General features: G+C 45.4%; 1 protein-coding gene across 1 annotated transcript in view, besides 1 other annotated feature; it reads right to left on the reverse strand.

The window, feature by feature from the left end:
* The window catches only part of SLCO2A1 (solute carrier organic anion transporter family member 2A1), a 97,225-nt gene extending 77,836 nt beyond the window's left edge, over positions 1–19,389 (reverse strand). Inside the window, exon 1 of the mRNA NM_005630.3 lies at positions 19,171–19,389. Coding sequence (NP_005621.2) covers positions 19,171–19,266 — 96 coding nt within the window. The 5' untranslated portion in view covers positions 19,267–19,389. The remainder of the gene's footprint in view (positions 1–19,170) is intronic.
* Positions 19,384–19,884: an enhancer, noted in NCBI's record as "H3K4me1 hESC enhancer chr3:133748764-133749264 (GRCh37/hg19 assembly coordinates)". NCBI's record gives its function as "activates a minimal SCP1, AML or CMV promoter by ChIP-STARR-seq in primed H9 embryonic stem cells {active_cell/tissue: H9 hESC(primed)}" and the evidence as "EXISTENCE:reporter gene assay evidence [ECO:0000049][PMID:30033119]".

The raw sequence follows: 20,195 nt of genomic DNA on the forward strand, positions 1-20,195 counted from the left end.
AGGTCAGGACTTCAAGACCAGCCTGACCAACATGGTTAAACCCTGTCTCTACTAAAAAAACGCAAAAATTAGCTGGGCATGGTGGCACGCACCTGTAATTCCAGCTACTCAAGGGGCTGAGGCAGAAGAATCGCTTGAACCTGGGAGGCAGAGGTTGCAGTGAGCTGAGATCACAGCACTGCACTCCAGCCTGGTGACAGAGTGAGACTCTGTCCAAAAAAAAAAAAAAAAAAAAGCACCAGATCTCCTGAGAACTCACTCACTATCACAAAAACAGCATGGGGGAAACTGCCCCCATGATCCAATCACCTCCCACCAGGTCCCTCCTCGGACATGTGGGGCTTACAATTCATGATGAGATCTGGGTGGGGACACAGAGTCAAACCATATCAGGTGGGAATTCTAAATATTTGTGATTTTAAGGCAATCAAAACAGGCTTGACTAATGCCCAACCCCAGTCCTTATAAATTTTACACATTTACACATTAAATTTTGTCTGTTTTTTTTGTTTGTTTGTTTTTTGTTTTTGAGATGGAGTCTCGCTCTGCTGTTGCCCAGGCTGGAGTGCAATGGCGCGATCTCGGCTCACTGCAACCTCCGCCTCCTGGGTTCAAGCAGCTCTCCTGCCTCAGCCTCCCAAGTAGCTGGGATTACAGGTGTGCACCACCATGCCCAGCTAATTTTTGTATCTTTAGTAGAGACGGGGTTTCACCATATTGGCTAGGCTGGTCTTGAACTCCTGACCTTGTGATCCGCCCACCTTGGTCTCCCAAAGTGCTGGAATTACAGGCGTGAGCCACTGTGCCCAGCCTACACATTAAATTTACACATGGATTCAGTGGGCCCATGATGTGGGAGTCCTGGGACTCTGAGGACTGAAGAAGAAGGAGGCTTGAGCTGCTGTGAGGACGATCTCAGCTGTGCGGAAGGCAGCGTCCTGATATCAAGGGCAATTTGAAAATGAAATTGGCAACCACAGCCCTGTGAGTTCACTTTCCAAGTCAGGGACACGTTCCAGAGGTGGAGTAGTTGCCATATACAAGGCTGGTTCTTCATTAACTTGGACCTGCCACATACCACCCTGCGGGGTGCAGCCCTGGAGCACAGGCTGGGACCCATAAGACCCGTTCCCACTAGCACTGGGTGAGATGCCCTGTGTGAGGGGTCTCTGTTAGCCCTCTGGCAATGAAGCCAGGGAATGTTGTCTCCAGTGAGCCCCTTTTCTACTTCCTCCAGAGAGATGTTGTCCTTTTAGAGGCTGGAGGGTGAAGTCAATGACCTGTCTAGGATACTCCATGAAAGCTTCCAAAGTTGCTGAGCAGTGAGAGCTGGGGTGTGAGAACAGAGGGAGGCGGGGGTAAGAAGGAGGAGTGTGAGAGATGACGTGGGCACAGATCTGGGGGCTGATGAGGGCATCACAAACTTGCAAGGCCTAGTGCAGGGGGCATCATGGGAGGGTCTCTGCTGGGCCACTTTCCAGCTGCTGCCACAAAGCCTGAGACACTCACATGAGTGGTGACCAGGCTCCTGTCAGTGACCAGAACCAGCAATGAAACCTTTGTGATCTGGGACATCAGGAGTTGGGGGCCACACATGTCCCAGCAACGCCCACCTTCAGAGCCTAGTTTGGCTTTCAGAGGAGGGTGGCACTGACTACCTGGTTTTCTATTTCAACCCTGCTGAGCAGTCCACAGTTAGAGGGGCTTCTGGGAGAGGGGAGACAGTATTGTACTAGAAACAGTGAAGCAAGTGACCAGGAAGTAATGGGTTCTGCTAGCTTCAAGCTTCACTCTGGGGAACACACATGGAAGGGCAGGTAAAGATTTCAGCTCCACACAGGAGAAACCTGGTACATGCCTGGGGTGCTACAATGTTCTGGGTCTGCCTTGTGCTACAGTGAGCTCCCCATCAGAACTCTGCAAGCAGAGGCAAGGACATCAAGAGGATTCCTGCGTCTTTGAGCAGATGAGCTTTCTCATCACTGTCTAGTCTGAAAGTCAATAATTCCATAAGCCAGGAAGCACCATCTTTCAATAGCTCAGCTTTATCAACATTTATATAGATTCTATACAATAAGATGTTGAAAAACACTGTAAAAAATCATGGCCAGTAATGAAGGTGGGAAGCTAGGTGGGAGGACTTCTACATAGAAACCAGAGAGGGAAATGAGCTCCACCGCTGTGCAGAAGCCCAGCAACTGCCATCCTGGCTGTCACTTGCCTGCTCTCTGGGAGCCCCCATTTCTTCTCCCCATAGGTCCCTAAGGTTCATTTCCACTCTTGGACACCATCCCTGACTCTCCTCGGCACTTCCCCTGCACCACAGTCAGAAGGTGCATGTTTGTTCTTGTAAAATGTCATAGCAAGGGAGGCAGTGAGGTGACCAACTCGTTCCAATTTGCCCACAACTTTCCCAGTTTCAAAACTGAAAGTCTGGTGTCTTAACCCCCTCAGTCCTGGGCAAATGAAGACATTTGGTCACCTTGGGAGGCAGGGAACTTATAGGCAATTTTTTCTTGGAAACTTGGGAGACTTTCAGGGAGCCAAGTATAAACAGCAACACCTAGTAAAGAGCTTCACCCAGTAGATATTCAATAAATGCTTACAAAGTAGACACTCAATAGATGTTTACAGTAGACACTCAATAAATGCTCACTGAGTGAGTGAGGTCCTAGCTCCATATCAGTCTCAGCTCCCAGACACATACCCCAAATACACTGTAAATCAAAGTTACAGGAGGAAGTTTTCAAAAGGGCCTGTGGCACAAGTGAAGAATGACTTATAAAACAGTTTGAGAAACAGATCAGTTTAATCCTATTCTGCAATCTCTTTGGCAGCCAAACGAGCAGCAGGAGTGTGACTCTGGAAGCCTGCTTTCTCCCCACCCTTCCCTTCCACTGCTGTCCCTTTGCCCCCCACCAACAGGGCCTCATTGTGCTCTCTAGCTGGTTCTGTCTGACGGTGTCCCATGGGGCCCGGCCCAGGAATTTTCTGATGTCCACACCTCACACACTTGTCCCACTTAAATTGTCTAGGTACCATTCCCTCTGCACCTGACAAGCTGGGTGGGTAAGTCAACCAGATAAACTAGTTCCAATGTGAGGTCTGCCTGTGTTGTATTTCCCAAACTCAATTCACTCCACCTGGGAGTCCATATCTGGGAGAGCCAAGTTAGACACACACATCTTCCTAGAGCATCAATGTTACTCCAAGGTTTGGAGAGAAATATGACATATTATTTGGAAACACATAGATTGTGGAGGACAATATATCATTCATTTGATTTTAAGATTAAAGTATAAAAATATATCAAAGAAATGTAATACTCAGGAGTCAGGCCACATCCCCAGACATCTCCCCTCACGCACCTTGTCCTACCCCTACATGGAAACTTCTTCATTCCCTTCTAGAATTCAGGGCCTCTTGGTGGGGCAGTTTGATAAACAGTAGCTCAAGGTAGCCCTCTCTGATAACACAGGCATTTTAACTGAGGCTGTCTGTGCTCTAGGCCAGCATTTCTCAAGGGTGTTGGATGGAGCAGTTTTTAGACATAAACAAGTATGACTGATGTTTGGGTAAACAAAATGAAACTTGTCATCAGGACTCTCAGGTTCCTACAGGATTCCAGTAGTTTGCCACATTTCTGAAGGTAGGGGTCTGCCCTGTTCGGGGGTGGGAGACAGTGCCAAATGCTGACCAGACTGAGTGTTCCGAAGGTCACAAGTCCTGGGGTTACTGCTCTGGCTGTGCCTGAGCCTCCAGTGTATCCATGTGAGCCTCCATAGCTTTTCCCTTCAGCAGGGCAAAGAGGCTGGAAAGACAGGCTCAGGAAGAGAGCTGCTGGCTGCAGAGTATCATCCCATCCTTCAACCCCTCAGTGCAGTCTCAGACTTCCTGCCTGGGTTTCATCTCCACCCCTGGGCAAATTTAATCCATCCCAAACAGTAAGACACACCCAGGGAATTAAGGTCCTCTCAACTGAAAGGGCTGGGGATTACTCAAAGACAATGCGGGTGCTTTCGCCAGGTTTCATAACAGGTCTCCTAGAAGAGTCCAGACCTAACTGGCCCTGCTCCTAGTCTCATCTCAATCAGCAACTTAACATCATGAGATAAGAATCTGAGAGTCTGAAAGGACCTCAGAGATCACTGAGCTCAGGCCCAAATGCTGGTGGATGAGAGAATCCAGAGCTGAGAGATGTTCCGTGGTCACGGGAAGAAGAAGAGTGAGATGACCAGGTGGGAATCCCTGCTTTGCCAGTTACTGGATATGTGGCATTGGATGAGCCTTGGTTTCCTCAACTGTGACATGGAGACGTTGATACCTCTCTTGCAGGGCTGTCATTAAGATTAGAAAAAATTTAGGAACATAGACTTGAAAATCAACTTCAAGGGAAAAAACATACCAATCAGCTAAGGGCAGAAGAAAAGCTGGAGCACATAAATACATAAGATCCCCTCACTTACCAAAAGCAAGCGTTAAACCTGTCCTTAAATCTTCCTAAAAGCCAGAATAGAAGAAAAACTGAACAGGTAATAAAATTTGGTATCCATAAGATAAACACATACCATTGCCCAATAAAACCAAGCTTTTATCCAACTTCAGGACTTGCTCTACATTATTCACAATAGCGAAGATATGGAATCAACCTCAGCATCCATCAGTGGATGAATAGGTAAGGAAAAATGTGGCATGTATACATATGGAATATTATTCAGCCTTTTAAAAGGGGGAAATCTTGTCAGTTGCTGCAACATGGATAAATCTAGAGGACATTATGCTAAGTGAAATAAGACAGGCACAGAAAGACAAATACCTCATGATCTGACTTAAATGCAGAATCTAATAAAGCTGAACTCATAGAAGTAAAAAGTAGAATGATGGTTACAGAGGCTGGGGGTGGGGTGGGAGGGGGGAAATGGGGAGTGGTTGATCCAAGGTACAAAGTTTCAGAGAGATGGGAGGAATAGATTTTGAGATCTGTTGCATAGCAGAGTGACTATAGTCAACAATAATGTAATATATATTTCAAAACAATAGTAAATTTCCAATGTCTCACCATAAAAAATGATAGATAAGCGAGGTCAAGATACATTAATTAGCTTGATTTAATCACGCCACATTGCACAGATTAAAACGTCACATTGTACTCCATAATGTATACAATTATGCCAATCAAAAACTTGTCAATCAAAAATAATAAATTTTTAAAGAAAATAAAGATGGATGGGCTCATCAAATAAAAATAAAGACTTGCTCTAGCTTCAGTAATGAAGACAGACTGGTATCAGCAGAAACAACGAAACAAAATAAAAAACCCAGAATAGATCCACACAAGTACAGCCAACTGATCTTTGACAAAGGTGCAATGGCAACTCAATAAAGGATAGTCTTTTCAAAAAAATGGTGGAGAAACAACTGGATAGCAATAGGTAAAAAAACAAAACAAAACAAAACAAACAAAAAAAACACCTTAACCTAAACCTTACATCCATTCAATTAACTCAAAATAGAAAATAAGTTTAAATGTAAATGAGAAAACTTTTAGAATGAAATATAGAAGAAATCATTCGGAAACTAAGGTTTGGTGAAGAGTTCTTAGACATGACACCAAAAGCAGGATCCAGAAAATTGAAAATTGATAAATTAAAATTCATCAAAATTAAACATTTTCTCTGTAAAATACCTTGTTAAGAGGATGAAAAAATAAGCTATAGTCTAGAAGAAAATCATTTCAGACTGCATACCCCACAAGAGACTTGTGCCTAACATATATAAAGAACTCTCAAAATGCAACTGTTAAAAAAAAAAGATTACAATTAGAAGATGGGCAAAATATAGGAAAAAACATTCCAATGAAGAGGAAATACAAACAGTAAATAAACACATGAAAAGATGTTCAATATTACGAGCCATTAGGGAAATGCAAAACAAGACCATGATGAGGTGTCACTATTCATATCTATTAGAATCGCTAAAATAAAAATTTGTAACAATACCAAATACTGATGAGGTGTCACAGCAACTGGGTCTCTCACATATGGCTGGTGAAAATGTAAACTGGTGTGATCACTCCAGAAAACAGTTCAGCAGTTTTTTAAAAAATATCTCACCATGCAACTAACATATAACCCAGCAAACACACTTGAGCATTTACCCTAGAGAAATGAAAATGTCCACACAAAACCTTTACACAATTGTTCATAACAGATTTATTTGTAATAGCCCCCAACTGGAAACAACCCAAATGTCCTTCAATAAGTGAACGTTTAAACAAATTATGGTACGGTCATACCATGGAATATTACTCAGCAATAAAAAGGAACAAACTATTGATACACAAAACAACTTGGATGGATCTCAAGGGCATAATGCTGAATGAAAAAAGCCAATCTCAAAAGGTCACAGATTGTATGATTCCATTTATATAACATTGTCAAAGTGACAAGATTATACAGGTGGAGGACAGATTAGTGGTTACCAGGGGTTAGAGATGGTAGTCACGGAAGCAAGGGGACGTGACTATAAACGGGTCAGCACAGGAGAAATCCTCGTGGTGATGGAATAGTTCTGTATCTTGAAGTGGTGGGGCGGTGGTTACACAAATCTTCATGTGTGATGCAATGGCACAGAACTATACACACACTTGATAGCAATGTCAATGTTCTGCTTTTGATATTATACTGAAATTATATAAGATGCAACCACTGGCAGAAACTAGGTGAAGGCTACACAGGACCTGTAAGCACTATTTTTCCTATGAATCTGTAATTGCTATAAAATAAAAAGTTTTTTTTCAATTCTAAATCAATCATTTTGTCTGGCACTAGGAACTCAGCTGACTTTCTCTATGGTGGCTCATGAGGCCCCAGATTCCGCAGTGATAACCATCCACGTTGATCCTCCAGGATACAGACAGGTGCAGATTCACACAGCTGTGTCTTCATGTCCTTCCTCAACAGAAACAGAATGGGATGGCCAAGCACATGTTAGTGAACTTAACTTCAGAACAGGGGCCAAACTAGCCTGGCCCTGTGCAGGCTTCCTGATGGGCTCATTTGCCCTGGGAGTATCCCTGGCTGCTTAGTTCCACCATCACTGGCTCTCAGGCTCTGGCACATAAATGGTCTGAAGGCCAGCGCCGCCACAGGCAGAAAGGGGCTTGAAGTGAGTGCTGGGGCTGGTTAAAGACATGGAGCAGGATAAAACTAAGTGGGGGTTGAGAAGAGGGAGAATGAAGAGGGGCGAGGCCAGGGGACCCCCTCCATTCCTCTGCATACACCCTGGTCTATTACACAAGCAAGACAAAAGAAGGCAAAGGGAAGCCACGTGCACATCTCAACGTTCCAACATCACTTCTGGATCTCTCAGAATGGAAAAAACAGGTAGTCACTGTCACAACAAAAGACAGTGATCAGAAAGAGGTGAGGTGAAATGAGCTATCTATACTGCGAAACATACAACACTCTTCCATTTGTTCCATGTGAGTACCACCAGAAGACAAACTGAAAGCTAAGGAGGGCTTTCAGCATCATCCAGGAAGAGGAGGTCTGAGCGACCCATGGCCCACCTGATCCTACCCGTTCCCGTTGTTCTCTCTTCCTTTCTCCCTACAAGCAGGGGAAGCAGGCCTCTCAGGAGGCAGATGCTTAGGAACAGAACAATGTTGTCTTCAATGTTAGAGAAACACCACCCCTGGGGAGGAGTGGGCATATCTTAACTCACTGGGTGGGTAAAGGAATTCTTGGGTTCAGGGGATTTTCTTGAGAGTGTTTTCCTGAGCATGAATCTGGTTGCTGGGATAGAGCACTTTGCTCTGGAAACTGATTAGTTAAGCAAGCCCAAGATGCCTCCCCATTGCTGGGGGTCAGAAGCCTCAGGAAGTGATGGACATAGGCCAAGACAAAGTAATTCTCCCCCCATTTTTTGGTCCTCCCAGGCCAGAAGTCACCAGGGCCACCGAAGCCAAGCTGTGAGGTTTGCCTTTCCCTTCTTCCCACTATTCTCCAGCCCTCAGTCTCCACCGGGATGTTCCCTCACTGATTGGATATACATTACTTCACTACTGGAGCTCTGGGTGTGTGATTTCCTGAAATTTGGCAGCAGTCATCAACCACTCCTTCTATAAGATAACCTCAGTTTGGTCCCAAGGGCAAGTTTTATTTTAAGGAGAAACAGAACTTCCTGAAGCCGCCAGGATAAGTCAGCTGCAAAAGCTGCCTCCCACCCCCACCCTCAGGATTACTAAATGAACCTGTTTAATTTAGCATTCTGGACACCAAATGCTGAACAGTGATTGTGGAGCAGATCTCTGCTTCTTAAGATTCCTGTAAGCTAGAGGCAACAGAGACTCTAGATTAAATCTGGTTTACTACTGCAGGAGCAGGCACATAAAACCCACCTGAAAGCTGCCACATTCTGGAGATGAGAGTTATGAAGAGGGAAAGGGTATCAGCCCGTTAGCCACTGGGAGCATCCACCTGAAGCCACTGCTGCTCCCCTTGGTCACAGCTGGGATGTATGTGTCAACAGGGCCCAGAGAAACCACTGGCCACTGGGAATAAGCACACCCCTGCTAAACCAGTGTTAAACAGCATAGTGTTGATGGTGAGGGCCAGCTTGAACAGGGGTTTGGGTCTTTGACTCTGAAGTCTCACATACCTGGTTCCTCTATAGTCCACCCCTTTCTGGTTATGTGAACAATTTCACAATGCCTTGTTTTCCTCATTATTAATGAGGACAATAATAGTATCCACCTGATAGGGTTGTAATGAGGATTAAATATAGATAAAGTACTTCCATAGTTCCTGGTACATTCATACAGCTCAAATACTGTTAGCCACTATTACTATTATTTTAATCATCATTATTATTATTAAATGTGGTTTTTCTTAACTAATAACTATGCCTCACGGAATTGGTGGAACAATTGTTCCTAAATGTTTGAATGTGAACAAATCCTATTTGTTGAAGCAAGAATTGATCTCAGATGGGTACTGATCCTGACAGCACAGCATGGTTTACAAAGCCTTTTTCCTATGCCTCATTCCACATAATCCTTTTTGAGCCCCATGAGCTGGATATTGGTCAATTACCAGCTCTTGCAGGTAAGGACGCTGAGGCCCTGAAAAGGTGAGAAATGCTTCCCTGCATCATCCCATTAGCAGGTGGCTGGGATGGGACCTTAAATCTGAGTCTTCTGGCTTTATCCGCTTCCCCTAAACTATATGGTATGTGGGTTTTTGCAGGAATGTCCAAAGTGGATTGGTTAGTCTGTCCAGCAACAAGGAACCTAGACAAATGACAGACCCTCTGGTTGAGTTTCCGCTGTTCCCACTAAGGGAGGAGACCACCCCTCATATTGTCTTATGCCCAATTTCTGCCTCCAAAGAAAGAAAAAGTAAAAACTAAAAGGCAGAAATGAAATCCACAAGCAGACAGCCCGGCACCATACCCTAGGCCTGGTCGTTAAAGATCGACCCCTGACCTAATCGGTTATGTTATCTGTAGATTACAGACATTGTATAGAAAAGCACTGTGAAAATCCCTATCCTGTTTTGTTCCGATCTAATTACCGGTGCATGCAGCCCCCAGTCACGCACCCCCTGCTTGCTCAATGGATCATGACCCGCTCATGTGCACCCCCTTAGAGTTGTGAGCCCTTAAAAAGGACAGGAATTGCTCACTTAGCGAGCTCGGCTCTTAAGACAGGAGTCTTGCCGATGCCCCCAGCCAAATAAACCCCTTCCTTCTTCAACTCGGTGTCTGAGGAGTTTTGTCTGCGGCTCATTCTGCTACATTTCTTGGTTCCCTGACCGGGAAGCGAGGTGATTGGCGGATGGTCGAGGCAGCTCCTTAGGCGGCTTAAGCCTGCCCTGTGCAACATCTCGGCGGGGGACTCCAACTAGCCCAAGCAACGCAGATCCTGAGAGCGCTCAGGGGTAGGCATTTGCCCCAGTGGGACGCCTTGCCAGGGCAGTGTGTGGCAGGCCCCCATAGAGGAGCAACGCAGTGGCTGAACACCAGGAAGGTTTTCACCGGTCTGGACATCTAAAACTTAGTAAGACTAGTCTTTAAAACTTGCCCACTCCGTTTGAGTGGAAGCGTGGCCTGATCACCCATGGCGTGCCTTTATCGGCACTTTGGTTTTGGTTTTGGTTTTGACTTGGTTTGAATTGCTTGACAGGACTGGTCTTGAGAACTTGCCCACTCCATTTGAGTGGAAGCTTGGCCTGATCACGCATGGTGTGCCTTTATCGGCACTTTGGTTTTGGTTTTGACTTGGTTTGAATTGCTTGACAGGACTGGTCGTGAGAACTTGCCCACTCCATTTGAGTGGAAGCTTGGCCTGATCACCCATGGTGTGCCTTTATCGGCACTTTGGTTTGGTTTTGACTTGATTTGAATTGCTTGACAGGATTGGTCTTGGGAACTTGCCCACTCCATTTGAGTGGAAGCGTGGCCTCATCACCCACGGCATGCCTGTACCGGCACTTTGGTTTTTGTTTTTGACTTGACTTGGATTGCTTGATACTTTGGTTTTGGTTTTGACCTGGCTTGGATTTCTGGATACTCTGATTTTGGTTTTGATTTTGCTTTGGTGCAAACTGCAAAAGTGTGTGCGTGCCCTTTTTACCTGTTCTTTGGTTTGTGGTGTGCATGTGGTATGAGCGTGTTTTGTCTCGAAGAAGCATAGGTCAGGCACAAATAAGCCCACCCTACTAGGAACTATGTTGAAAAATTTCAAAAAAGAATTTAAAGGAGACTATGGAGTACTGTGACACTAGGAAAACTTAAAACTTTGTGTAAGATAGACTGGCCAGCATTAGAGGTAAGTTGGCCATTAGAAGGAAGCCTGGACAGGTCCCTTGTTTCAAAGGTGTGGCCCAAGGTAACCTGTAAGCCAGGGAATGCAGACCAGTTCCTGTACATAGACACTTGGTTACAGCTGGTTTTAGACCCCCCGCCCCCAACACACAGTGGTTGAGAGAACAGCAGCATAAGTGGCTGGCAGAGGCAAGGAAAGACCAGCAGAGAGAGAGAAAGGAAAGAGAGAAGAAAAGAGGCAAAGAGAGAGGAAGAGACAGACAAAGAGGGAGTCAAGGAGAGAGAGAGAGAAAGAGAAAGGCAGTGAAAGAGAAGAAGAGACAGAGGCAAAAGGAAAGTCAAAGAGAGAGAGACAAAGTCAAAGAGAGAAAGAAAGAGAGAGATATACAAGTAGTTAAGAAAAAAAAAGTGTACCCTATAAAAGCCAAGGTAAATTTAAAACCTATAATTGATAATTGAAGGTATTCTCTGTAACCTATCACACTCCAATACCACTTTGTTGTCAGTGTAAACAAGGGCGTATCCTGAAAGCACTGAGGCCTTCCTATAAAAAATCCTTAACCCAGTAACCCGCAGATGGCCCAAATGCATTCAATCTGTAGCTGCAACTGCTTTGCTAACAAAAAAAAAAAAGTAAAAAAAAAACTTTTAGAGGAAACCTCATTGTGAGCACACCTCACCAGTTCAGAAGTATCCTAAAGGAAAAAAAAAAAAAGAAAAAAAGAGGAGGGGCGGAATTTATGTAAAAAGAGTATTATATGGTAAATTCTTGTCCTGAAATAAATTAACTAGTTGTTTAAAGAAAGAAATATTTGTAATAAGTCAAAAAGTTGAGGCATGTCGAAGAATTATCTGCGAAAGTCATGAAAGAAAAAAGTTATAAAAAAGAATTTATGCAAAAAATGTGGTGTAATTTAAAAGTAACTAGGCCTCCTGAATTTAAAACTATTAAAAAACAGTTTGTATGCAAGGTGTATAAGAAAAGTAAAATATACCTTTGGTAAAAAGATTATAAGGAGGCATAAGAATGTACATTTTTACCTACATTAAAAAGTTAAAAAAAATTATTGTTTTGAAGGTTTAAGCAAGTTTTAAAACGTTAATTATAAAGAAAATTCTGTGTGTAAACATATTAGCTAAAGTTAAAGAAGTATCATCCAGTTTTTCTGTGAACTGGACATTAAAGTAAAAGCATAACAGGTTTTTCTTAAAGCACCAACCTGCTCTTTAGCAAAAATTATAAAAGGTTAAAAAGAGTCTATAAAATCTTACCTTATGGTCAAACATTAAAAATTAGATAAATATGTCTAGAAGGTTTTATTAAAATTAGGTTTAACATTAATAACACACTAATATAAAGGTAAAATTTAGCTTATCTGGTGTAAAAATCATATGAGAAGCACTGTTAAATGCAAAATGGTATTTGGCTTTCTTTGGTTTAAAAACTAATAAAAATAGGTGCTAAAGGAAATTTCTCAGTAAAAAGGCACTAAGGACTATAAAGTCCACTGTCCAGGTCCCCACAGTTAAAACAAAAGGTCGATGTCTTAAAAATTATATACTTGGTTTATCTTCCACTTTCCTTTCTCTCAAAAACTAAGTCTTTTAGCACATGTACCACCCCTAGAATTTCCAGTAAACCAGCACCAGCCTGAAGATCACGTTCTCATCAAAGGGTGGAAAGAAGAAAAACTCAAGCCAGCCTGGGAAGGACCCTACCTTGTGCTGCTAACCAACAAGACTGCTGTTCATACAGCAAAACAAACAAACAAACAAACAAACAAACAAACAAAAGAATGGACTCATTACACCCGAGTCAAGAAAGCGCCACCCCCTCCAGAATTGTGGGCCATAGTCCCAGGGGAAAACCCTATCAAACTAAAGCTAAGAAAAATTTAACTCTTTTAATCTATTCTATTACTCTTTCTTCTTTCCTCATTCTATTGCTGACCATCTAGTTATTAACATAACCAAGTCAATTTCTCCTCAAACTATTGCATTTAATGCTTGCCTTGCTATACCCTGTGAGGACTTGCCAAGTCAAAGACAGCTTTCTGCTTTAGAAAAGTACTTCTGTCCCTCCTGACTCTCCTCAGACTGGGCATTAGTAAAGTAGGACCATTTAATCTGGGGAGATTTCAATAAAGACCCCAGTGCCAACCAGAAGTCTTGCCCCCCGATGTAGAGCTTTCATGCCATAGTTGGTCCAATGTTCTGTGGACCACTAAAGAGCAAGGATGGACTGCCCCAACCAGTTTTTGTAATTTCCTAAAATCATACATTCATTTTACTAGAGGATCATGGAAGTTAAAGACTTAAAACAAACTTTAGCAATTTGAGACAGGATACCAAGATGCAAATGCTTGGTTAAAATGGATCAAATATTCCATCTGCACGTTAAACAAAAGCAATTGTTATGCTTGTGCACATGGCAGGTCAGAGGCCCAGACTGTCCCCTTTCCACTAAGGTGGTCCTCCAGTTGACCAGGTGTAGGCTGCATGGCTCTTTTCCAGGATTCTACAGCCTGGAGTAATAAGTCATGCCAAGCTCTCTCTGCTATATCCCAAAGTCTGGCACCCTGCGGGTCAGCCCCCAAAGGCCATCCAGCCTCCGTTTCCCAACACTAAGTCACTTCATGTCTCTCATGACAGGGAGGAAACTTAGTGTTCCTTGGAGACCTGAAAGGATGCAGTTAGCTTAAGAATTTTCAAGAGCTTATCAATCAGTCAGCCCTTGTTCATCCCCGAGCAGATGTGTGGTGGTATTGTGGTGGACCTTTACTGGGCACTCTGCTGAATAAATGGAGTGGCACTTGTACTTTAGTCCAATTGGCTATCCCTTTCACCCTGGCATTTCATCAACCAGAAGGAGAAAAATAAGACATCGTAAAGCGAGAGAAGCCCCTTATAGGTCTTTCGACTCTCATGTCTGTTTAGACACAATTGGAGTCCCATGACGAATACCATATCAATTTAAAGCTTGAAATCAAATAGCTGCAGGATTTGAGTCAATATTTTTGTGGGTGACAGTTAACAAAAATGTAGATTAGATAAACTACATCTATTACAACCAACAGCAACGAGCTTTTCATGAGTTAAAAGAAAAACTCATGTTGGCCCCAGACCTGAGGCTACATGACCTGGCAAAACTCTTTACACTCTATGTGTCAGAAAGAGAAAAAATGGCAGTTGGAGTTTTAACCCAGACTGTGGGGCTCTGGCCAAGGCCAGTGGCCTGTCTCTCAAAACAACTAGACGGGGTTTCCAAAGCCTGGCCCCCAGGTTTAAGGGCCCTAGCAGCAACAAGGGCCTTCTTGTCCTGTTAGCACAAGAAGCAGATAAACTAACCCTTAGGCAAAACCTGAATATAAACGCTCCCCATGCTGTGGTAACTTTAATGACTACCAAAGGACATCATTAGTTAACAAATGCTAGATTAACCAAGTACCAAAGCTTGCTATGTGAAAATCCCCACATAACCATTGAAGTTTGCAACACCCTAAACCCCACCACCTTGCTCCCAGTATCAGAGAGCCCAGTTGAACATAACTGTGTAGAGGTGTTGGACTCAGTTTATTCTAACAGGCCCAACCTCCGAGACCATCCTTAAACATCAGTAGACTGTGAGCAGTATGTGGACGGGAGCAGCTTTGCCAACCCCTGCAAAGTGACTCTGAAGAAGACGACAAGCCCTGCTCTAGTCACACCCGGAAGCTGACTGGTCCATGCACGGCCGAAGCATGAGAAAACTCATTGCGGGACTCATTTTCCTTAAAATTTGCATTTTTACAATAAGGACTTCAACTGACCTTCCTCAGACTGAGGACTATTCCCAGTGTATACATCAAGTCACTGAGGTAGGACAAAAGGTTGCTACGGTCCTATTATTTTATGGTTATTATAAGCGTACTGGAACTCTAAAAAGAACTTGTTGTATAATATAATTCTATACAAGGTATGTAGCCCAGGAAATGACCAACCTGATGTGTGTTATGACCCATCTGAGCCTCCCATGACCACAGTTTTTAAAATTAGATTGAGGACTGAGGACTGGTGAGGGCTCACAAATGATATGAGTAAAGTGCTAGCCAAAACAGAAGAAAAAGGGGTGCCCAAACGAGTCATCTTAAAATTTGATGCCTGTGCTGTCATTAATAGTAATAAGTTAGGAATAAGCTGTGGTTCTCTTAATTAGAAAAGAGGCTATATAGCAGAAAATAAGTACATCTGTCATAAATTAAGACTGTGTGGAAAGAAATGTAAATACTGGTCTTGTGTCATTTAGGCCACTTCGATAAAAAAAAAATGAAAAAGATCCAGTCCACCTTCAGAAAGGAAAAAATGGCCCTTCCTGTACTAAGGGACAATGTAACCCCTTAGAGCTAGTAATAACCAATCCCCTTGATCCTCGCTGGAAAAAAGAGGAGCGTGTGACCTTAGGAATCAATGGGGCTGGACTGGATCCTCGAGTAAATATCTTGGTTTGAAGAGAAGTTTACAAACGCTCTCCTAAGCCAGTGTTTCAAACTTTCTATGATGAACTAAATGTGCCAGTACCAGAAATTCCAGGAAAAACAAGAAATTTGTTTTTGCAATTAGCTGAGCATGTTCTCTCAATGTCACTTCATGTTATGTATGTGGAGGAACTGTAATAAGAGATCAATGACCATGGGAAGCCCGAGAATTAGTACCTACAGACCCAGTTCCTGATGAATTCCCAGCTCAGAAGAATCACCCTGATAATTTCTAGGTCCTAAAAGCCTCAATTATTGGACAATATTGCATAGCTAGAGAAGGAAAAGAATTTACTCACCCCATAGGACGACTTCTTTGTCTAGGACAGAAACTTATAATGGTATCACAAAAACAGTCATTTGGTGGAGTTCTAATCACACAGAGAGAAATCCATTTAGTAAATTCCCAAAGTTGCAAACCGTGTGGACCCACCCGGAGTCCCACCGGGACTAGACAGCCCCCACTGGATTATACTAGATACGTAGGCATAGAGCTTACGCCAAATTACCTGACCAGTAGGCAGGTAGTTTTGTTATTGGCACTATTAAACCATCTTTTTCCTACTGCCCATAAAAACAGGCGAACTCCTGGGCTTCCCTGTCTATGCTTCCCGCGAAAAGAGAAGCATAGCTATAGGAAATTGAAAAAATGATAAATGGCCCCCTGAGAAAATCATACAATATTATAGGCCTGCTAGGCACAAGACGGCTTGTGAGGATACCAGACCCCCATTTACGTGATCAACTGAATCATACGGTTACAAGCTGTCTTAAAAATAATCACTAATAAAACCGGCAGAGCCTTGACTATTCTGGCCCAGCAAGAAACTCAGATGAGAAATGCTACCTATCAAAATAGATTAGCTCTTGACTACTTGCTAGCAGCTGAAGGAGAGGTCTGTAGGAAATTTAACCTTTCTAATTGCTGCCTACATATAGATAATCAAGGGCAAGTAGTTGAAGACACAGTTAAGAGATATGACAAAACTGGCACATGTGCCTGTGCAAGTGTGGCATGGATTTGATCCTGGGGCCATGTTTAGAAAATGGTTCCCAGCGCTAAGAGAATTTAAAACTCTAATAATAAGAGTTATAATAGTAATAGGAACCTGCTTACTGCTCCCTTGTTTGCTACCTATACTTCTTCAAATGATAAAAAGCTTCATCGCTACCTTAGTTCACCAAAAAGGTTCAGCACAAGTGTACTATATGAATCACTATCGATCTGTCTTGCAAGAAGACACAGGTAGTAAAAATGAAAGTGAGAACTCCCACTATTGAGTGAGAATCTCAAAGGAGGGGAATAAGGGAGGAGACCACCCCTCATATTGTCTTATGCCCAATTTCTGCCTCCAAAGAAAGAAAAAGTAAAAACTAAAAGGCAGAAATGAAATCCACAAGCAGACAGCCCGGAGCCGCACCCTAGCGCTGGTAGTTAAAGATCGACCCCTGACCTAATCGGTTATGTTATCTATAGATTACAGACATTGTACAGAAAAGCACTGTGAAAATCCCTATTCTGTTTTGTTCCGATCTAATTACTGGTGCATGCAGCCCCCAGTCACGTACCCACTGTTTGCTCAATCGATCACGACCCTCTCAGGTGCACCCCCTTAGAGTTGTGAGCCCTTAAAAAGGACAGGAATTGCTCACTCGGGGAGCTCAGCTCTTGAGACAGCAGTCTTGCTGATGCCCCCGGCTGAATAAACCCCTTCCTTCTTTAACTCAGTGTCTGAGGAGTTTTGTCTGTGGCTCGTCCTGCTACACCACCATGTCATACATGTCCCAAGATATGTGCAACCCATCCCCCACTGCAAAGTGGCAGGGCTATTACAAGCACTCTCATTGGGAGGAAATATCCCTTCAAATAGCAGAGCTCCCAGTTATTGCCCCAGGAGGGAAAGGTGCAAGTGACTTTAACTGATGGAATTTGAGATTCAAGATTTACCTTAAGCTATCCAACCTCGTACCTGGTTTCAGGCTGATAAGTGGAGTTAAATGGAAGTCCTCCAAACTCTGGTCTTGCAATTAGTATGGATCAAAGGAGGTGATGACTAACAGAATCTCATTTTTAGAGTCAAGAAAAACTCTTAGCCAGTATGAGTACTTAACTCCTTTAGGAGGCCAATTGGCCTGAGCCCAGCCCTCAGGTACGTGTGGTTAAATCATCAACACATGAGAAATCATCTTATTTATATAGATCTCCAAATAAATTGCTGCCATAAACATTTATTTTAGGGAACCAGGGTGGGTCTAAACGGATCAGTCTCATTCAGCTGTACCCTCACTGTCAGGAATCTGTTCTGGACACCCGTCCCTCCTGCCCTTCTTGGTGAAAATGAAGTGAGGTTGCCCCACCCTGGTTCCTGCAGAGGCCCCTTTCTTTACACCATCTAATCCTAGTCCCTACCCTTTCATCTCAATTCCTAATTTATAAATACCAAAGGTTCCAAAATTCCTGATGAAATTTCTCCAAAATGGTGGAACCAAAACTGCGCACAACATTTCCATCCAGGTCTGGCCAAAAATGAGGAGATTTGGAGATTATTTTAAGCTATCTCAAAATTTCTGTTGCTTATCCATATACAACTACAAAATCAATTCAGCCTGTATTTATTGCGGTGCGGAAAGAGCAGAAGCAGGAGTGGAGATCCCAGCTGAGTAAGTATGCAGGTGAGATCCACTCTGACCTCCAGATCCCTTTCTGTTGGACACATATAACCAGTCCACGGACACCCCCATCATCCCTTTGTGTAATCTGGCTTCCCCTTAATTGCACCACCGGAGGCTTTACTCAGTCCCATCTGACTGTATGTTTGTGGGAAACAACCTCTCTACACCATGATCCCACCCTGACCAGAAGGGGCCTTGATGCAGTCTCTGCAGTCTCCCACATCCTCACCGCAGCAGCTTTGGCCTCTCAGGAGGTATCTTCCATTGTTACTTCTGCCTAGGCAGAACGGGCAAAAGAGCCCGAGTGCGGATTGAACCATTCCAGGTCCTCCTGGACCTGTGAGGGAGTGGAAAGCATTTCCGACCCCATGGGAAAGGTGCTCTCATCCTAACAGCTGCCAACACCCTATCTTCTCACCCGCTCCCCATAACTTGCCTGGTGAGTGGACCTGCTTAGACCTTACTGAACCGTGAGAGCTGTGACCTTCCTGGGGCCATTTCCAGACCAGGGAAGCCAATCTGAGCACGCGGGTTGGTTGCCAGCCTGGGGAAGCCGCCCGCTGAGAGGGAATTCTAAACATAACTGCGAGCGGCACAGCCAGGTAGCAGAGCCCCCCGCCCCCGTTGGCGGGAGAAGAAAGCCTGGGGAAGGAGAACATCCCTTAGGCCACCCACCCCAGGACGAGGGGGCTCGGACGAGACACAGTCTGTCCCCCAAAGCGCGGGGGGTCCCCCTGGCACCTCCAAGCCCATCCCATTGACGAAGTAACCGCCCGCTGGAGGCCGAAAAAGCGTTCCTCGAGATGATCTTTTTCAATCATCGAGGACAATTCTCTCGCTTATAACTCTGCCTGGAGTTGTCCGAGTAAGCGGTAAGCAGGTACTTCCACTGTCCCATTACTTAGTCCGATGAAGGCGTGTGAACACACACACACACACTCGCACGCACACACACACGCTCACACACACACACGCTCACACACACACTCGCACACACACGCCCAGCACGCGTCGCCCGGGGATGAGATCGGAGCGCGGCACAGGAGGGAGCCCGGGGCTCCCGGAGCCTCCTGGCTCCGGCAGACAGAAGCGGGTGCCCAGCCGAAGGTGCGCCAGGCGCGGCTCCGGCCCGGAAGACCCCGCGGACTCCGCTCACCTTAATGTTGCCGAAGACCGAGCGGGCACAGCGGCCGGCTCGGCTAGTAGAGGTGTCGCTGCCCTGGGACGCGCCGAGCTTGGGCAGGAGCCCCATGGCTGCGGGCGGCTGGCCGGGCGCGGAGTGGCGCGGGGTCGGGGCGCCTCGGGCTGGAGCGGCCGGGCGGGTGAGAGGCGACCGCGGCGGCAGTGGCCGGAGGAGATTCGCGGAGCGGAGACTGAGCCAGCGAGTGCGCGCCTAGAAGTTTTTATAAGTGGCCGCCGCCGATGATGAAACGCGCTCTCCCTCCTCCCTCTTTTCCTCGGGTGTCAAAGGCGCTACGAGCCCCCGCCCCGCCGCCGCCGCCGCCGCCGCCCCCTCAGACAGGTGTGACGCCGCAGCGACCCGCGAGGCTTGACTGCCCCGAGAAGATCCCGCCTGCCGGGAGGCGGAGAGGGAGGGAAGGAGGTGGCGGGCCCGGGGAGGGGAGGTGAGGGCTGTGCGGGGGCAGGAGGTTGCAAGGGGGTGGAGGTTCCTGGGGACTGGCGAAGAGAGGGTGGGCGAAGCGAAGGTGGGTGAGTGGAGGGGATGGAGAAAGAGGTTGGCAGGGCTGGGGGGCAGGAAGGCTGGGATATGAGGGTGCCCGAGGCGGGCGCTGGAGGGGCCAACGTGAGCCGGGGGTGGAGGGGAGCCCCAGCACCCCTCCCGACGTTCTTGGGGAGATTTACGGAGCCAGTCTCTGCTTGTTTGCACTCGCAGAAAACCTGGGCCCTCAGTTCCGGTGATGGCTCTGAGACTCGCTGCAGCTCTGTTTGTGTTGAGGACTGATTTATATTTAAACTGCTCTTTGCGCTGGAGAGGGGGCTGGGTAACAAGGTGAAAAGGTGGGGGCTGGGCCCGAAGTCTCTGGACCTGAGCCAAGGTAAACTGCAGGGGCTGTCAAGTGTCAGCATGGCTGGGTCTGGCCTGGGGTGCTGGGGGGAGGGGTAGAGGGGGTGGGGGGGGTGTGGACAAACAGGACGCACCCCACTGACCTCCTTCTCAGT

Source organism: Homo sapiens, chromosome 3 (assembly GCF_000001405.40).
Source record: "Homo sapiens chromosome 3, GRCh38.p14 Primary Assembly".
Taxonomy (NCBI): domain Eukaryota; kingdom Metazoa; phylum Chordata; class Mammalia; order Primates; family Hominidae; genus Homo; species Homo sapiens.